This window comes from Homo sapiens, chromosome X (genome assembly GCF_000001405.40).
Source record: "Homo sapiens chromosome X, GRCh38.p14 Primary Assembly".
NCBI lineage: Eukaryota > Metazoa > Chordata > Mammalia > Primates > Hominidae > Homo > Homo sapiens.
Genome location: NC_000023.11, coordinates 23,856,482 through 23,874,734, shown reverse-complemented (window position 1 = coordinate 23,874,734; position 18,253 = coordinate 23,856,482). Strand labels below are relative to the sequence as shown.

The window sequence follows — 18,253 nt, the reverse complement described above, 5'->3', positions numbered from 1 at the left end:
TAATGGAAGAGTGAAATGGCTGGATTGTTGAAACCACTCTGTTTGGAATCTGCTTCCTGTGGCAGTAGTAAGCCATTCTGCTGAGTAATTTGCAGTGAAGGGAAGATTATAATAGGAAAAACAAACAAAAAGACCCAGACAGACAGTGTATCCCTTTGTTCAAAAAGCGTTAATAACATGATAATTTATTCAGTAAAAACAAGTATATTTATTCTGTTAACTTTCTAATCAGCAGATCCTGTGAATAGTTTCATTCAGTTTCTTTTTACCTTTTTAGGAAACGTACTCCCAAACTAAGCCCAAGATGCAAAGTTTGGTTCAATGGGGGTTAGGTAAGTTGATTTTAAATTAGGCATAATCAGCTACTTCATTAACATTGAACTCTTTAATCGGAGTTCCATGAATGAGCTCCAAGAAATCTGTGTATTCCTTAAAATTATATGCAGAATTTTAGAGCTATGTGGATTTTTCTGGGAAGAGGAGCTGTTGTTTTCATCAGATTTCAGGCAACTAGTGTCCCCAAATAGTCAGGTAAGTCTCTTCAAGATCGTTAGGATTCTTGGGCTAGCAAGTACAGATACACTGCTTTAAAAAAAAGAAATCTCATTTCTAGGTGCAGCGTAATACACCATACTAATTCATCAATAGATTTTCTGAATCGGAATAGCTCATTTGCATTGCAATTAATAGATGCTCTAGAAGTTTTGAAGCAGGAAGGAGCTGAGTTGGTACTCCTATAAAAGGTCTTACTGCATAATTGATAGTGTTCTTACTTTTTTTTCATTTGGTTTTATTTTCCTTGATTATTTTTCAGTTGTGGGCCACTTATCACATACACTCACAAACTGGATTCACAGTCCATGTTCTGACTAATCTTAATCAGAAACTGGTAAATTAATAAAGATACCGATCATATTTCATTCCCCTTATTAGGCATCTCGCAAACAAAATCTTGTTTTTACAAGGGTTTGTTTCCATGATAGAACAAAATAAACATAAGTACAGTTTCTTTGGTAAGATCACCATGGTGTATTGATGTCCTGATATTTCTGAGACTGTCAGATAAATTTATCGTTTGAAGACAAACATAACAATAGCTGCCTACTGGTTTTTTGTTTTTTTTTTTTTGAGACAAAATATCACTCTGTCACCCAGGCTAGAGTGCAGTGGCATAGTCTCAGCTCACTGATACCTTTGTCTCTCAGGTTCAAGCGATTCTCCCACCTTAGCTTCCCGAGTAGCTAGGATTACAAGCGTGTGCCACCACATCCACCTAGTTTTTGTATTTTTAGTAGAGACAGGGTTTCACCTTGTTAGCCGGGCTGGTCTCAAACTCCTGACCTCAAGTGATCTGCCCGCCTCGGCCCAAAATATTGGGATTACAGGCGTGAGCCACCGTACCTGGCCCCCTACTGGTTCTTTAAATTATTAAGGCATGTTAATAAGTAACATCTTAATTTTATTAATTTCATAAACACTTATTTAAGACTTATATGTCAGGTACTATTCTAAGTGCTTTACAAATACCAATTTATTGGGGGTGGAGTGAGGATGGTTAATGAGTACAAAAATATAGTTAGAATGAATAAGACCTAGTATTTGATAGCACAGTAGGGTGACTGCAGTCAATAATACTTTATTATACATTTTATTTTTTATTATTTTATTTATTTTTTATTTTTTTGAGACAGATTCTCACTCTGTTGCCCAGGCTGGAGTGCAGTGGTGCTATCTTGGCTCACTGCAACCTCTGCCTCCCAGGTTCAAGCAATTCTCCTGTCTCAGCCTCCCGAGTAGCTAGGACTGCAGGCACACGCCACCACACCCAGCCTATTTTTTGTATTTTTAGTAGAGACGGGTTTCACCATATTGGTCAGGCTGGTGTAGAACTCCTGACCTCAGGCGATCCACCCACCTCAGCCCCCCAAAGTGCTGGGATTACAGGTGTGAGCCACCGCGCCTAGCTTATTGTACATTTTAAATAACTAAAAAAGCTATACTCTTTTAGGTATTGTAAATAAACTGAAAGAGTATAATTGGGATGCTTGTAACACAAAGAAAAATGATAAATGCTTGAGGTAAAGGATACTTCATTTACCCTGATGTGATTATTATGCATTGTATGCCTGAACCAAAATACCTCATTTACCCCGTAAATATATACACCTACTATGTACCCACAAAAATTTTATATATATATATATATATATATAAATTCTCATAACAAGCTGACAGATACCTTATTATCTTCATTTTTATCCGAGGAAACTAGAGAACTCCTGATATAGTCTTTTATCTGTCCATGTGTGGCTGAGAGGTCTCTTGTTTAAATTTTTCTGAGACAGGATCTTTCTCTGTCATCCAGGCTGGAATCCAGTGGCGTGATCATAGCTCACTGCAGCCTCAACCTCCTGGGCTCAAGCAATCCTTCCAGCTCAGCCTCCCGAGTAGCTAGGATTACAGGCATGTGCCATCACATTTTTTCCACTTTTTGTAGAGGCAGGGTCTCACTTTTTTGCCCAGACTCCGTACAGTCTTAAAACATATCTTCTTTCCCCTTTCTTTGTGATTTACCCACTTTGGCCCAGCTCACCAGAGCCATCTGGGTGTCCCTCTGTCAACTGCTCTGTGTACACATCTAGAATTGAGCAACACTGGGCTAGTAGGCAAAAATAAAGGGAAGTAAAAAATTGCCTCAAATGACCCAGACTAGAGGATGGAAAGTAAAAACTAGGCTAAAGGCAAAATAAGTAACAGGCCAGACAGTAATTAATGCAAACATAATACAAGTCCTATAGTAGTATTTAAAATGATCACATTTCCCAAAGAACCCAGGAAAAGGAAAACTGGCGTGTATCTGGTATTACTTAGGGGACAGAATTGCTGAGTTTTCCAGTTTATTAGTTCAGTTCTGTATATATTTTTTAAGTCACCATTCTGCCAGGCCTCGAAAATTGAGATTGGTTAAGACAGTGGTCACAACCACTGAGATGCGTGTAATATATTATTCAGTACTAGTGCAAATACAGAGATAATCACAGACCATTATTGAAGGTACAGAGGAAGGAGATTAGTTTAATTGAAATCGAGGAGGTGGGAGCAGTCAGGGAAGGACTTCTGAAGTGAATCTTGAAGGAGCAGTGTTAGCCACTCCAAAATGTGGGGGTGGGACTGCTGGAAGCAGGCATTGCACACTGGGCCCAGCATGATCAGGCTTAGAGGTGTGACTTGGTATTGGATGTTTGAGGAACCCTAAGTAGATAGGGAGTGCTGAAGATGAGATTGAGAAGGAGACATGAGGGCTTTGTGTAAGTCATGACCTAGCTAAAATTCATTTGTTAATTCATCCAGTATTTTTTTTTTTTTTTTTTTGAGACGGAGTCTTGCTCTGTCGCACAGGCTGGAGTGCAGTGGCGCGGTCTCGGCTCACTACAAGCTCCGCCTCCTGGGTTTACGCCATTCTCCTGCCTCAGCCTCCCGAGTAGCTGGGACTACAGGCGCCTGCCACCACACCTGGCTAATTTTTTTTTTTTTTTTGGTATTTTTAGTAGAGTTGGGGTTTCACCATGTTAGCCAGGATGGAATACATCCAGTATTTATCAACTCCTGGCAGTGTGATTTTTGTTTTTTTGTTTTTTTGTTTTTTGAGACAGAGTCTCGCTCTGTTGCCCAGGCTGGAGTGCAATGGTGTGATCTCGGCTCACTGCAACCTCTGCCTCCCAGGTTCAAGCGATTCTCCTGCCTCAGCCTCCTGAGTAGCTGGGATTACAGGCACACGCCACCACGCCTGGCTAATTTTTGTATTTTTAGTAGAGACGGGGTTTCACCATGTTGGTCAAGCTGGTCTCGAATTCCTGACCTTGTGATCTGCCTGCATCGGCCTCCCAAAGTGCTGGGATTACAGGCGTGAACCACTGCGCCTGGCCTGTTTTTGTTTTTGTTTGGAGACAGGGTCTCATTCAGTCACCTAGGCTGGAGTGTAGTGGCATGATCATAGCTCATTGCAGTCTTGACTTCCTGGACTCAAGCAATCCTCCCACCTCAGCCTCCCAAGTAGCTGGGACCACAGACATGCATCACCACACCTGGCTAATTTTTTTTTTTAATTTTTTGTAGAGACAGGGTTTCGCCATGTTGCCCAGGCTGTTCTTGAACTCCTGGACTCAAGCAATCCTCCCACCTTGGCCTCCCAAAGTGCTGGGATTACAGGCGTGAACCACTACACCCAGCCATCATTCTTAATAAATATCTATTGAATGAACATCCATTATTACCACTGAGGGAAGATAACACAGAAGTGTAAGCAATCTATCATTAAGGAGCTTACATTCTCCTTGGGGAGACACCAGATATACACCTGAATAATTAAACACAGGGTACTATAGGATTAGGTACCAAGTGATGGTACAGAGAATAAATATGATGGGACTTTAGAGGAGGGAGAGAGGTGTGAACTGATGAGCTTAGGAAAGGCTTTTGTGTGGAAGTAGGACTCAACTTGGCTTTTATGAGGTGGGATTGGCTCAGTGGAGAGGAGACGAGGCATTATGTGAATGAAGTCAGAAGGCATGTTCAGTCATGATGAATAGGTCACATGTTGTATTTATTTTTATTCTATCACCATCAACAGCGATCAACAGTGGCTATTTTCTGAGTGAAATTACAAGTTTCCTTTATTATCCAAATTTATTCTGTTCTTCTGTTCGAGTAATGAGTTCAGATGGCAAAGGATGCTTATTTTTCTGAGTCTAATGTATTTGATTTCTTTCTTTTTTTTTTTTTTGAGAAGGAGTCTCGCTCTGTCACCCATGCTGGAGTGCAGTGGCGCGATCTTGGCTCACTGCAACCTCCACCTCTCGGGTTCAAATGATTCTCCTGCCTCAGCCTCCTGAGTAGCTGGGATTACAGGAGCGTGCCACCACGCCCAGCTAATTTTTTTGTATTTTTAGTAGAGATGGGGTTTTACCATGTTGGTCAGGCTGGTCTCGAACTCCTGACCTCGTGATCCGCCCTCCTCGGCCTCCCAAAGTGCTGGGATTACAGGAGTGAGCCACCGCACCTGGCCTTCCTTTTTTTTTTTTTTTTTTTTTTTTTCTTTTTAAGAGGCTGTGTCTTGCTCTGTGGCTCAGGCTGTCAGGCTGTCAGGCTGGAGTGCAGTGGCTCAATCCTAGCTCACCGCAGCCTTGAACTCCTGGGCTCAAATGATTCTTCTGCCTTAGCCTTGGAAAGTGCTGAGTTTATAGGAATGAGCCACCACTCACAGCTTGTTTTTGGTTCCTGAGTTTCAGAGAGCAAGCAGCAAAGCTTCAGATAGCAATAGATCTATCCAAAGATTTATCCAAATCTATTCTGTTTTTGTGTTTCCATAACAAGAGTTTGAATAGCAAAGGATCCCTGTATTTGTATTCCTCCCTGTGCAAATTGCTGATTCAGATCTGTTGCTTTCAGGAATATGAAAGTAATTTAACATTTACTTCATTGTCAGTAGGTTGTTGGACCAAAGGTACTTGAAAATTGGACACTTGCAGCCGGGCGCAGTGGCTCACACCTGTAATCCCAGCACTTTGGGAGGCTAAGGCGGGTAGATCACCTGAGGTCAGGAGTTCGAGACCAGCCTGGCCAACATGGTGAAACCCCATCTCTACTAAAAATACAAAAGTTAGCTGGGCGTGGTGGCGGGCGCTTGTAATCCCAGCTACTTGGGAGGCTGAGGCAGGAGAATTGCTTGAACCTGGGAGGCAGAGGTTGCAGTGAGCCGAGATCACGCCATTGCACACCAGCCTGGGCGACAAGAGCAAAACTTCATCTCAAAAAAAAAAAAAAAGAAAGAAAAGAAAATTGGACACTTGCTATGTGAATAGTAAATCTTGTTTATATGTCACATAAAAAGAGTATGTTGAAGAGAAGTATAGTAGCAGGATGCAGAGAATATGTGGTTTGAAAAGCACTTGATACTATATATACATATTATATACTGTATAAGACTTTTGTTTTGTTTTTTAATGAGAAATTTATGGAACTGCTTCCTGGTCTAATTCTATTGTAGACAGCTATGACTATCTCCAAAATGCACCTCCTGGATTTTTTCCGAGACTTGGTGTTATTGGTTTTGCTGGCCTTATTGGACTCCTTTTGGCTAGAGGTAGGTGCAATTTTATGGCTTTAACAGTCAGCTCATAAAGCAGAGATAGAATATATGTTTCATTCTTTCCCTTCATTTACCAGGTTTCAGAATAATGAGTTGGTTCCTAAATACGGCTTTCTTAATGTATAATGGATATGGTTATCATATTTGATTTTAAACATAAATAGAAATTGTATACTCTTGGTAAAAAAAAGAAGTTATCCTTTATAGGCACATTTACTTGATCAAATCTCTGTTGTTCTTTGGTACAGAAAGAGCAAAATTTTAAAGTCTTTCACACCTGAGAAATCAACTGTTTCTAAACGTTTCACTATTAAGATCAAGCTATATTAATCACAGTAGATAGAGCAGTGATTTAATAGAGATTTTATTACCTTCTTGATTTGTCATGCCTTCAGTCAGTGATGACAAAAACTTTAAAAATGCTTTAAATACTAACAAATGCCAACTTAAAAATATTACTATACTGCTAGATTATAAAATATCTATAGGAAATAAAGGCTAATAAAATACTTTGCTATGATGAGATGAATTTGTTATCAACTACTTGAAGTTTTGCTAGTTGGAAACTAAATGTTTATGATATAAAATTCTGACATTACCATCATTCCTAATGAAGAAAGTTTATGAATCCTGTAATCAGACCCCTGTAAAAGAGAACCATAGAGACTACTCTGGTCCCTGTATTAGTTTGTTTTGCATTGCTATAAAGGAATATCTGAGGCTGGGTAATTATAAAGAAAAGAGATGCCAGGCGCAGTGGCTCACGCCTGTAATCCCAGCACTTTGGGAGGCCGAGGCAGGTGGATCACAAGGTCAGGAGATCGAGACCATCCTGGCTAACACGGTGAAACCCCGTCTCTACTAAAAATGCAAAAAATTAGCCGGGTGTGGTGGCAGGTGTCTGTAGTCCCAGCTACTCGGGAGGCTGAGGCAGGAGAACGGTGTGAACCTGGGAGACGGGGCTTGCAGTGAGCTGAGTTCGAGCCACTGCACTTCAGCCTGGGCGACAGTGCGAGACTCCGTCTCAAAAGAAAAAAAAAAGAGGTTTATTTGGCTTATGGTTCTGCAAGCTGTACAAGAAGCGTGGCATCAGCATCTATTTCTGTTGAGGGTTTCAGAAAGCTTCCAATCGTGGTGGAAGGCAAAGGGGGAGCAGGCGCATCACATGGTGAGAGAGGGAGCTAGAGAGATGCCAGGCTCTTTTAAACAACCAGCCCTCATGTTAACTAATAGAGTGAGAAATCACTCATTCCCACAGGGAGGGCACCAAGCCATTCATGAGGGATCCACCCCCATGACCCAAACACCTCCCAGCGTGGGGGTTCACATTTCAACATGAGATTTAAAGGGGACAATCATTCAAACTGTATCAGTCCTATTCCTCCAATTTAAAAAATCTTCCCTCTACATGCAATAGCTTTTACTTTAGTTTAGTTTAGTTTCGTTTCGTTTCGTTTCGTTTCGTTTCGTTTCGTTTAGCTTAATTTGAGATAGAGTCTCACTCTGTCGCCCAGGCTGGAGTGCAGTGGCACAATCTCGGCTCACTGCACCCTCCGCCTCCTGGGTTCAAGTGATTCTCCTGCCTCAGCCTCCCAAATAGCTGGGATTATAGATGTGCACCACCACGCCCAACTAATTTTTGTATTTTTAGTAGAGATGGGGTTTCGCCATGTTAGCCAGGCTGGTCTCCAGCTCCTGACCTCAAGTGATCGGCCTGCCTCGGTGTCCCAAAGTGCTGGGATTACAGGTGTGAGCCACTACACCTGGCCTTATTTTTTTTTTAATTGATTTCTTTTTTGAGACAGGGTCTCACTCTGTCACCCAGGCTGGAGTGAAGTGGTGTGATCATAGCTCATTGCAGCCTGGACCTCCTGGGCTCAAGTGATCCTCTCACCTTAGCCTTTCAAGTAGCTGGGATTACAGGCGCCTGCCACCATGCCCAGGTAATTTTTGTATTTTTAGTAGAGACGGAGTTTCGCTATGTTGCTCAGGCTGAACTCCTGAACTCTTGAACTCTTGAACTCCTGAACTCAAGCCATCCACCTCCCTTGGTGTCCCCCAAAGTGCTGGGATTATAGGCATGAGCTGCCGCACCCAGCTAATGGCTGTTATTTTTGAATCTGGAGGGTAGACACTGCCCTGGTGGCACTACCAGCTCACCTGTGGAAGCAACTCATGTCACAGTCTTTGTGCCCTCCTCCCATCTCATGCAGAATATGTCAGAATTAAATTTCCAGCTTATTTTTGTAATCAACTTATGAACCAACATTTTTCCCTAAACTTCTTTCACCTCATTTCTTGCAAAGCTGTTCAGAAGAGCATTCGGTCTTATTTAGATAGCGTTTGAGATTGATGAACATCCCAAGGCCAGGGTGTTGGGATTTCAGCTATCGTTAGGGAGATAGGAATGTAGAAGTGAGTGAGAGGAGCTTCCCCCTCCCTCTCCTGGTTAGAGCATGTGGGAAAATCTTCCAGGTCCAAAGAAAGCACTTTTTCTGTGCTGTGGGTACGTTCCTACAGTGCCGAGAGCTTGTCCCTGGAACATCCACTAGGATGACCATCCTAAGGAGGATTGGAGATGGTGCTCTCCTGGCCAGAGCAGCAGCATGAGGACATCTGCTACAGTGGGTCCTAGTCCTCTGATTTTGTTTGTTCGTTCTGTCTCTTTTCTTCCTTTTCCTGGGGAGAGCTTGGTAGTATTAAAATAATTTGACACCTTAATTCTTTTTCACAAATATTCACACAGGCACGCACACACACATGTGCAATAGCAGGTCTTTTCTCCTGAGCGTTGGGTATAGAAAGACCTGAGGTGAGCAGCATCAGAGGGGTTCACCAAGCAAGATGAGTGGGGTGATAGGGATGTCTGTGGGTAGCCAGAATGGTTTGCAGGCCCCTCCAGGTGAATGGGCCCCTTTGAGGGCAGCAGCAGGGTGGGTGGGTGCAGAAGGTCCCTCCTGATAGGAGTTTCTTTTTTTTTTTTTTGAGACAGTCTTGCTCTGTTGCCGAGACTGGAGTGCAGTGGCGCCATCTCAGCCTCACTGCAACCCTGCCTCCTGGGTTCGGGTGATTCTCCTGCCTCAGCCTCCCGAGTAGCTGGGACTACAGGCGTGCACCACCATGCCCAGCTCATTTTTGTATTTTTAGTAGACACGAGGTTTCACCATGTTGACCAGGCTTGTCTCGAACTCCTGACCTCAAGTGATCCTCCCACCTCAGCCTCCCAAAGTGCTGGGATCATAGTTGTGAGCCACTGTGCCTGGCCTGGTGGGGTTTCTTGAGCGTATCTGCTAAGGTAGTCTGCTTCAGTTGTTGAGGATTGCCACAACTGTGGTGGTGACAAGAGGCTCTCAGAGAGGTGAATGGATGTCCATTCAGAGGAAGTGGGCCCAGCCAGACCACTCCAAGATGACACGTGGTTGTTGACACTATTGTTGCCTTCTGGTGGCTCTCCCCAGCATTGGCCACCAGTGGTTCCCCCCGCCCCTGGCAGTGCTGATAGTGACAACCTGTACCACTGGCCTCTTGGGAGATAGGGCATGGAGGTGGGGGCAGGGGAGTATGATTACACCTCCTTCCTGAAGTTCTTGGGTCTCTGGCTCATTGTGTGAACCAGCAGGAGCTGGAGGCCCGAGAGCTGCCACTTCTCGGCTCTCCCTGGAGGAGTGAGAAATGACTGGGTGGCAGGTTGGCTGCTCTTTCCCTGGTCCTCACTTGGGTGAGCTGCTTCAAGTGGATGGGGGCAGGGGAGGGGCCATATGCAGGGATATCACAGGCTTTTCTCTTCTAGGATAATTATACCCTTTCAATTCATGCAACAGGATCAGGAGAGAAACAGTAAATCATTAATAGTCTAGGTTGATAACATTTGTATTCTCTTCAGCAGTCCCAGTTCCATCGTTGGGGATTTCTCTGTTTAAAGTTTTAAAGCCAATAAACAGTACTTATGTGATTAGAACCGTTTAAGGATTAATGTACACATTCTGTCGGGGTACAGTGGCTCACACCTGTAATCCCAGCACTTCAGAAGTTCAAGGCGGATGTATCACCTGAGGTCAGGAGTTCAAGACTAGCCTAGCCAACATGGTGAAACCCGTCTCTACTAAAAATACAAACATTAGCCAGGCGTGGTGGCGGGTGCCTGTAATCCCAGCTACTTGGGAGGCGAAAGCAGGAGAATCACTTGAACCCGGGAGGCAGAGGTTGCAGCAAGCCGAGATCGCACCACTGCACTCCAGCCTGAGCAACAGAGCGAGACCCCATCTCAAAACAAACAAACAAACAAACAAATCAGCCGGGTATGGTGGCTAACACCTGTAATCCCAGCACTTTGGGAGGCTGAGGTGGGTGGATCACCTGAGGTCAGGAGTTCGAGACCAGACTGACCAACATAGTGAAACCCTGTCTCTACTAAAAATACAAAATTATTTGGGCATGGTGGCGCATACCTGTAATCCCAGATTCTTGGGAGGCTGAGGCAGGAGAATCACTTGAACCCAAGAGGTGGAGATTGCAGTGAGCCGAGATTGCACCATTGCACTCCAGCCTGGGCAGCAAGAGCAAAACTCCATCTCAAAAAAAAAAAAAAAAATCAATAACACACACATTCTGCTAGCATCTATATGGGTCCCACAGCAAAAAACACTATGCCTCTCAGTGGAGTCAAGGCCATGTGTATTCTCTAGTTTCATCCTCTACTGGTTTTTTTAACCTCATTCTCAGGTTTCTCCAGGCTCTGTGTCCTGCTGTCTCTTCTGTCCATTTCCCTTGCTCCACAGCTCTATATCCTCCTACAATCTGGCCTGAGACTTCAACACAGTTCTTGTTTTGGGACTGGTCTTCTTCACACTTTCTTGGGTTTAAGCCCCCTTTTCCTGGGTTCCATGTCATCTTCTCCTTGGTTTACTCTGCCGTGCTGTTGAACTACATGCTTAAGTCACTTTCAAAAAAGCGTATGTTGGAGGTAAACTTCCCAAGACCTTCCATGTCTGAAAATCACTTTCTGCCCTCATACCATGTGACAGTTTGGTTGGGCACTGAATTTTGTTTGCCATCAAAACTTTCAAAGCCATGTATTCTAGCATCTGGCGTTGTAGATGTGAGAGTCAGTAGCCATTCTGGATATTTGCTGCTTCTGAACAGGTGATACATTTTTTTTTTCTTCCTGGAAGCTTTGAAGATCTTCTGTGAATCTTTAGTGTTCTGAATTTCTTTGGTGCTGTGACTAGATAGAAGTCTTTTCTTTTTTTTTGAGACGGAGTCTCACTCTGTCACCCAGGCTGGAGTGCAGTGTCACAATCTCCGCTCACTGCAACCTCCTCCACCTCTGGGTTCAAGTGATTCTCACGCCTCAACCTCCCAGTTAGCTGGGATTACAGGCGTGCACCACCACGCCTGGCTAATTTTTGTGGTTTTAGTAGAGATGGGGTTTCACCATGTTGGCCAGGCTGGTCTTGAACTCCTGACCTCCAGTGATCCACCCGCCTCAGCCTCCCAAAGTGCTGGGATTACAGGCATGAGCCACCATGCCCAGCCTTGGATATAGTGTTTTCATTCTTGCCCAAACAATATGGCGGCTTGCAGCATCCAGCTGAAGGAAAATATCTTCTTTTCCTCCCTCCCTCCCTCCTTCTCCCTTCCCTGCCCTCCCCTCCCTCTCTCCCCTTCCCTCCTTCTCCCTCCCCTTCCCTCCTCCCTCCCCTTCCATCCCCTGCATCCCTCCCTCCCCTCCCTCCTTCTCCCTTCCCTTCCCTCCTTCTTCCTTCCCTTCTCGTCCCGTCCCTTTCTCTTCTCTTCTCTTCTCTTTTCTTTCTGAGAGATGATCTCACTCTGTCACCCAGGTTGTAGTGCAGTGGCATGATCAGGGCTCACTGCAGTCTTGACCTCCTCAGGCTCAAGCAATCCTCCCATCTCAGCCTCCTGAGTAGCTGCGACTATAGGCATGCACCACCACACCTGACTAATTTTTTTTTTTGTGGAGACCGGGTGTCACCATGTTGCCCAGGCTGGTCTCAAACTCCCGAGCTCAAGCAGTCTTCCTTCTTCAGCCTCCCAAAGCGCTAGGATTATAGGCATGAGCCACTGCGCCCAGCCTATCTTGTGTATCTTTGAAAATTTACTCTCATTCTTTTTCCTTCCTCAACGCATTAATTAGCAATTGAGTTATTTAAAAGGACCCTATGTGTCTCTTATATTTTCTTGATTATTTTATTTTGTTCCTTTTGAATTTTTTTTGCTTTGGTCATTTCCAAGAGCTCCTTCCTGTTCTTTGAATGTTCTTTTTTTCATAGAATTATTTTTTTCTTTTAATGTAGTGGCTTTTAAAATTTATTTGATGATACTTAGTAATAGGTTTAGTTTTGTTTTGAAGTTCTTCTGTTTCCTTTGTGCTTGTCTTGGTCTTTCTCCTTTATGTTTCAGGCTTTCCACAAATGACTGGTGATTCTTGGTTATCCAGTCATGTTTCAAAGTGAGGCAGCTGAAATGCTAATAAGAACTCTTTCACCTGTAATCCCAGCACTTTGGGAGGCTGAGGCAGGCGGATCACCTGAGGTCAGGAGTTCAAGACCAGCCTGGCCAACATGGGAAAACCCCATCTCTACTAAAAATACAAAAAATAGCCGGGTGTGGTGGAGGGTGTCTGTAATCCTAGCTACTCAGGAGGCTGAGGCTAGAGAATCACTTGAACCCAGGAGGCAGAGGTTGCAGTGAGCTGAGATCACGCCACTGCACTCCAACCTGAGCAACAGAGCAAGACTCCGTCTCGGGAAAAAAAAAAAAAAAAAAAAAAGAACTCCCTGTCTGTACATGGGGCCCACTGACGGGCAGGTTCTACCTCAGGGGAGCTGGGCAGGAAGTGACCATATACAAGGGTGCACCCAGGGCCAGTGTGAGGAGGGCTTTTCTCTCAGGCACTGACATACTCACCCCTTCCAGCTCTCTTGGTTCTCAGCAGGAAATCCATGGTGTTTCTTTAGTGATACCCTGCCCCCACTGTTTTAACTCTTTTTTTTTTTTTTTTTTTTTTGAGACAGGATCTTGCTTTATCACCCAATGTGTTAGGCCATTCTTGCATTGCTATAACCTAACACTGGGTAATTTATAAAGAAAAGAGGTTTAGTTGGCTCACAGTTCTGCAGGCTGTACAGGAAGCATGGCACCAGCATCTCCTCGGCTTCTGGTGAGGCCTTGGGCTGCTTGCAATCATGGTGGAAGGCAAAGGGGGAGCTGGTGTCTCACATGGCAAGAGTGCGAGCAAGAGAAAGAGGTGGGGGAGGTGTCACACATTTTTAAACAACCAGATCTCAAGAGAACTCACTGTTGCACAAGGACAGCACCAAGGGAATGGTGTTAAACCATCTGTGAGAAATCCACCTTCATGATCAGGTCACGTCCCACCAGGCCCCACCTCCAACATTGGGGATTACAATTTAACATGAGATTCAGAGAGAACAACATCCAAATTATCACCCAGGCTGGAGTGCAGTGGCATAGACACAGCTCACAGTAGCCTTGAACTCCTGGGCTCAAGCAATCCTCCAGCCTCAGCCTCCTGAGTAGCTAGGACCACAGGCACATGCCACCACACCTTACTAATTTTTTAATTTTTTGTAGAGATGTGGTCTCCCTAAGTTGCCCAGGCTGGTCTCAAACTCCTGGGCTCAATCAGTCCTCCCACCTCAGCCTCCCAAAGTGCTGGGATTACAGGTGTGAGCCACTGCATCAGGCTCATTTTTTTTTTTTTTTTAAAGGAATAGAGATGGGGGGCTGGGCGTACTGGCTCATGCCTGTGATCCCAGCACTTTGGGAGGCTGAGGCAGGTGGATTGCTTGAGCTCAGGAGTTCAAGACCAACCTGGGCAACATGAGGAAACCCCGTGTCTACAAAAACTACAGAAAAAAAAAAAATTAGCCAGGCATGATGGCTTGCACCTCTTGTCCCACCTACTTGAGGGGCTGAGGCAGGAAGATAGTTTGAACCTGGGAGGTCGAGGCTGCAGTGAGCCATGATTGTGCCACTGCACTCCAGCCTGGGAGACCGAGTGAGGCCCTCTCTCAACAGAAAAAAAAGAAATGGAGATGGAGTCTCGCTATGTTACTCCAGCTGGTCTCAATTCCTGGCCTCAAGCAATCCTTATGCCTCGACCTCCCCAAGTGCTAGGATTACAGGTGTGAGCCACCACACCCAGTAACCCTGGTTTACTGGGTTTTTTAACATTTTGAACTGGTGTGACTTCCTGGCCAGGGGTAGTTTTGTACTGGGATGGCATAGGGGAAGGAAAGGCCATGCTGGTCCATGCATCGGACTTGCGTTTGTCCTGTGCCCTTGTCTTGCTCCCTGGTTGCCATCTCCACTCCCCATGGTACCTGCCATCTCTGGATCTGGAATCTCCCTGGGGCTGCCTGGGACAGATCTGCTCCCTCTGAGGCTGCACTCCTCCTCAAGATTTCAAGATTTCAAGGCAGTGTGTCCTCTTATTTCCGTTCACTCTCCATTTTCTGAAAATTGATTGACACTTCCTTTCTGCCAGTGGCCCTTCCACACATTTTCTCTTCATTGTGGGTTTATTAATGTTTTTTCTTACTGTTTTTTTAACGGGGTTGCAGAAAGGGGAGAAGAAGAACGCTTGTGTTTAGTATTTATATAGGAAGCCAGATTGCTATAAAAGAACATAAACCCTAGAAACCAAAATACTCATTTGTTTATTTTTAAAATAATCTTTTTTTCTGCTCTCTTAGGGAAAAAAAGGTGTTCTTTTGAAAACACTTGGTGCTGAGTGAAAGAAGCCAGTCACAAAGGACCGTATATTTACTGCATGATTCCATTTATATGAAATACCCAGAGGGCCGGGCGCAGCGGCTTACACCTGTAATCCCAGCACTTTGGGAGGCCGTGGCGGGTGGATCACCTGAGGTCAGGAGTTCGAGACCAGCCTGGCCAGCATGGCGAAACCCCATGCCTACTAAAAATACAAAATTAGCCGGGCATGGTGGCGTGTGCCTGTAACCCCAGCTACTCGAGAGGCTGAGGCAAGAGAATTGCCTGAACCCGAGAGGCAGAGGTTGCAGTGAGCCAAGATTGCGCCATTGCACTCCAGCCTGGGTGACAAGAGCAAAACTCTGTCTCAAAAAAAAAAAAAAGAAATATCCAGAGTAGGCAAACACATAGAGATAGAAAGTAGATCAATGGTTGCCTAGGGCTGGACGGTACGGGGGAGTTGAGGAATGACTGCTAATGGGTTTCTTTTAGTGATTATGAAAAAGCTCTAAAGTTAATTGTAATGATGGTTACACACCTCTGTCAATATACTAAAAGCCATTGAACTGTACTTTAAATGGGTGAATATGAATTTTATCTCAATAAAGCAGTGCAAAAGCGTTTTGGTGCACATGACTTTATTTGGCACATTCTTTCAGTTTAGGACCAAAGAAATCTTATTCAGTGGTGGGGTTATTTTGGTTTTGTTGTTTGGGTTTCTTAAGAGACACGGTCTTGCTCTGTCACCCAGGCTGGAGTTTAGAGGTGTGATCATAGCTCATTGTAACCTCGAACTCCTGGGATCAAGGAATCCTCCCACCTCAGCCTCCCAAGTAGCTAGGACTATAGGCACACACTACCACGCCTGGCTAATTTTTTTATTTTAATCTTTGTAGAGACAGGATCTGACTATGTTGCCCAGGCTGGTGTCAAACTCCTGGCCTCAAGTGATCCTCCCGCCTCGGCCTCCCAGAGCTTTTGGATTATAGGCGTGAGCCACTGTGCCTGGCCTTGTTCCGTATTAAATGGATAAGGTAAATTGTGATGGTGAGGATAATGAATCATCTGATGGCGTGTACAACCTTTTATTTATCAGGTTCAAAAATAAAGAAGCTAGTGTATCCGCCTGGTTTCATGGGATTAGCTGCCTCCCTCTATTATCCACAACAAGCCATCGTGTTTGCCCAGGTAAGAGAAACTCTGTAATCCATGATGTCCCTCATTCTTGTTTGTGTGTGTATGAATCTGATGCTTAATTTTATTTTATTTTGCAGTTCTTATAACACCAGACTAAAATTTGTTTGTACATATAGATGAATACAGAAAATTTAAATGATTTTCTCCACTATATGCCTCAGTTCTGGCCCTTCTTCCAGTAATGCCAGTGTTCACAGAATTTGAACACGAATTTGCGTGATTGTTTGAATGTTCATCAGCAAAAATTTAATATACATTTTTTGTATACTTACATGGAAGTCTAGAGACTCAAATTCCAAAGCTGATAATTATGGGTCACTCAGTTTATGCATGTCCGGTCACAACCTGCTCTCGTTGGTATTGTAGACCCAGACTACTCTGACTTCCACTCCTCCCTAGTACTGGTGCCCTTGCTTTCCTTGCTGGGGACTTTGGGGACTGTAATCCCCTCTGCTTGGAGTGCCCTTTTCGGGGCTTTCAGTTGGCTGCTCCTTTCTTATCCTTGAAGCCTCAGTCTTATGGTACCCTGGCAAGCAGGTCTATCACGGTGGCAGGCAACATGGATAAAGCTGTACCACCGATTCTTAAAATGTGTTACCAGACCAGAAGCAGCAGCATCACCTGAGAACTTGTTAGAAATGCAAACTCTCAGGCCCCACCCCAGACTGACTGAATCAGAAGCTCTGGGAGTAAGGGCCAGCAGTCTGTGTTTTAGCAAGCCCTCCGGTGGTTTGTTATTAATGCCTATGGTGTTTGAGAACCACTGATGGAGACCAGTAGGTAGCCTGAAAAGGGTGATATCTGGAGTGAGTGGGACTCTAGAGATGGTGTCCCTCAGGAACTGGTAAGAACAAGACAGGCTCTAGGTTTTGAGGTCCTGGGCAGATTGTGGACACAGGGACTTTAGCTGCTGGAACTACCACATCACATGGAAACTCAGTTCCAGGAGCAGACAGCAGTGCAGTCACCCAAATTGGACTCTGAGCCAGACTGACCTGAGACTGAGCTTCCTTGGTTGTTCATGACAGTATTGAATCCAGATTCCTTGATTGGGCTACAGTTGTATGTGAGAGTCCAGTGGCCCCAGCTTGGGGAGCTTGATGGCTTTGATGACAAATACCAGTACTTTCCAGCATTTGCTCAACATTGTTTGTAACAGTCCTGGAGGCAGATAGTTAATGCTTCTGTCCCTGCTCCAGCCCCAGGTCAGGAACAGTGAGTAACATCTTCCAGCCCTAGATATAAAAATAATTAAACATTATTTCAGCCTGTTATGGTTTAAGCAGTAAATAGCTAGAGTGGAGAGGGTGAACTTGGTTGCTCGTTGAGAAGCATATGTGGCTGTCCCCAGAGTAGGAGTCTTTTTTTTTTTTTTTTAAATTTCTTTCTTTTTTAACTTTTAGCGTTAGGTGTACATGTGCAGGTTTGTTATTGTAAATCGTGTGTCATGAGGGTTTGGTGTACAGATTATTTTGTTACCCGGGTAATAAGCCTAGTACCTGATGGGTAGTTTTTTGATCCTCGCCCTCTTCTCACCCTCCACCCTCAAGTAGGCCTCGGTCTCTGTTCCCTTCTTTGTGTCCATGTGTTGTCAAGGTTTAGTTCCCAATTACAAGTAAGAACATGTGGTATTTGGTTTTCTGTTCCTATGTTAGTTCACTTAAGATAATGGCCCCCAGCTCCATCCCTGTCCCTGCAAAGGACATGAGCTCATTCTTTTTGGCTGCATAGTATTCTGTGGTGTATAAGTACCACATTTTCTTTATCAAGTCTACCATTGGCTGGGCATGTTGGCCCACGCCTGTAATCCCAGCACTTTGGAAGGCCGAGGTAGGTGGATCACCTGAGGCCAGGAGTTCGAGACCAGCCTGACCAATGTGGTGAAACCCTGTCTCTACTAAATACAAAAAATTAGCTGGGTGTGGTGGCACATGCCTGTAATCCCAACTACTTGGGAGGCTGAGGCAAGAAAATTGCTTGAACCCAGGAGGCAGAGGTTGCAGTGAGCCAAGATTGCGCCATTCCACTCCAGCCTGGGCAACAAGAGCGAAAACTCCATCTCAAAAAAAAAAAAAAAATCTACCATTGATGGGCATTTAGGTTGATTCCATGTTTTGCTATTATGCATAGTGCTATGATGAACATATGCAT

General features: G+C 44.6%; 1 protein-coding gene across 7 annotated transcripts in view; it reads left to right on the top strand.

Annotated features, from left to right (window-relative positions):
- APOO (apolipoprotein O) overlaps positions 1-18,253 on the top strand; it is a 74,586-nt gene that overhangs the window by 33,204 nt on the left and 23,129 nt on the right. For 6 of the 7 annotated variants that reach the window (XM_011545587.4, NM_024122.5, XM_024452447.2 and 3 more), the window contains 3 exons: positions 278-332; positions 6,047-6,142; positions 16,002-16,093. In XM_011545587.4, coding sequence (XP_011543889.1) covers positions 278-332; positions 6,047-6,142; positions 16,002-16,093 — 243 coding nt within the window. The remainder of the gene's footprint in view (positions 1-277; positions 333-6,046; positions 6,143-16,001; positions 16,094-18,253) is intronic. The other variant, NR_026545.4, reaches the window with a different exon arrangement.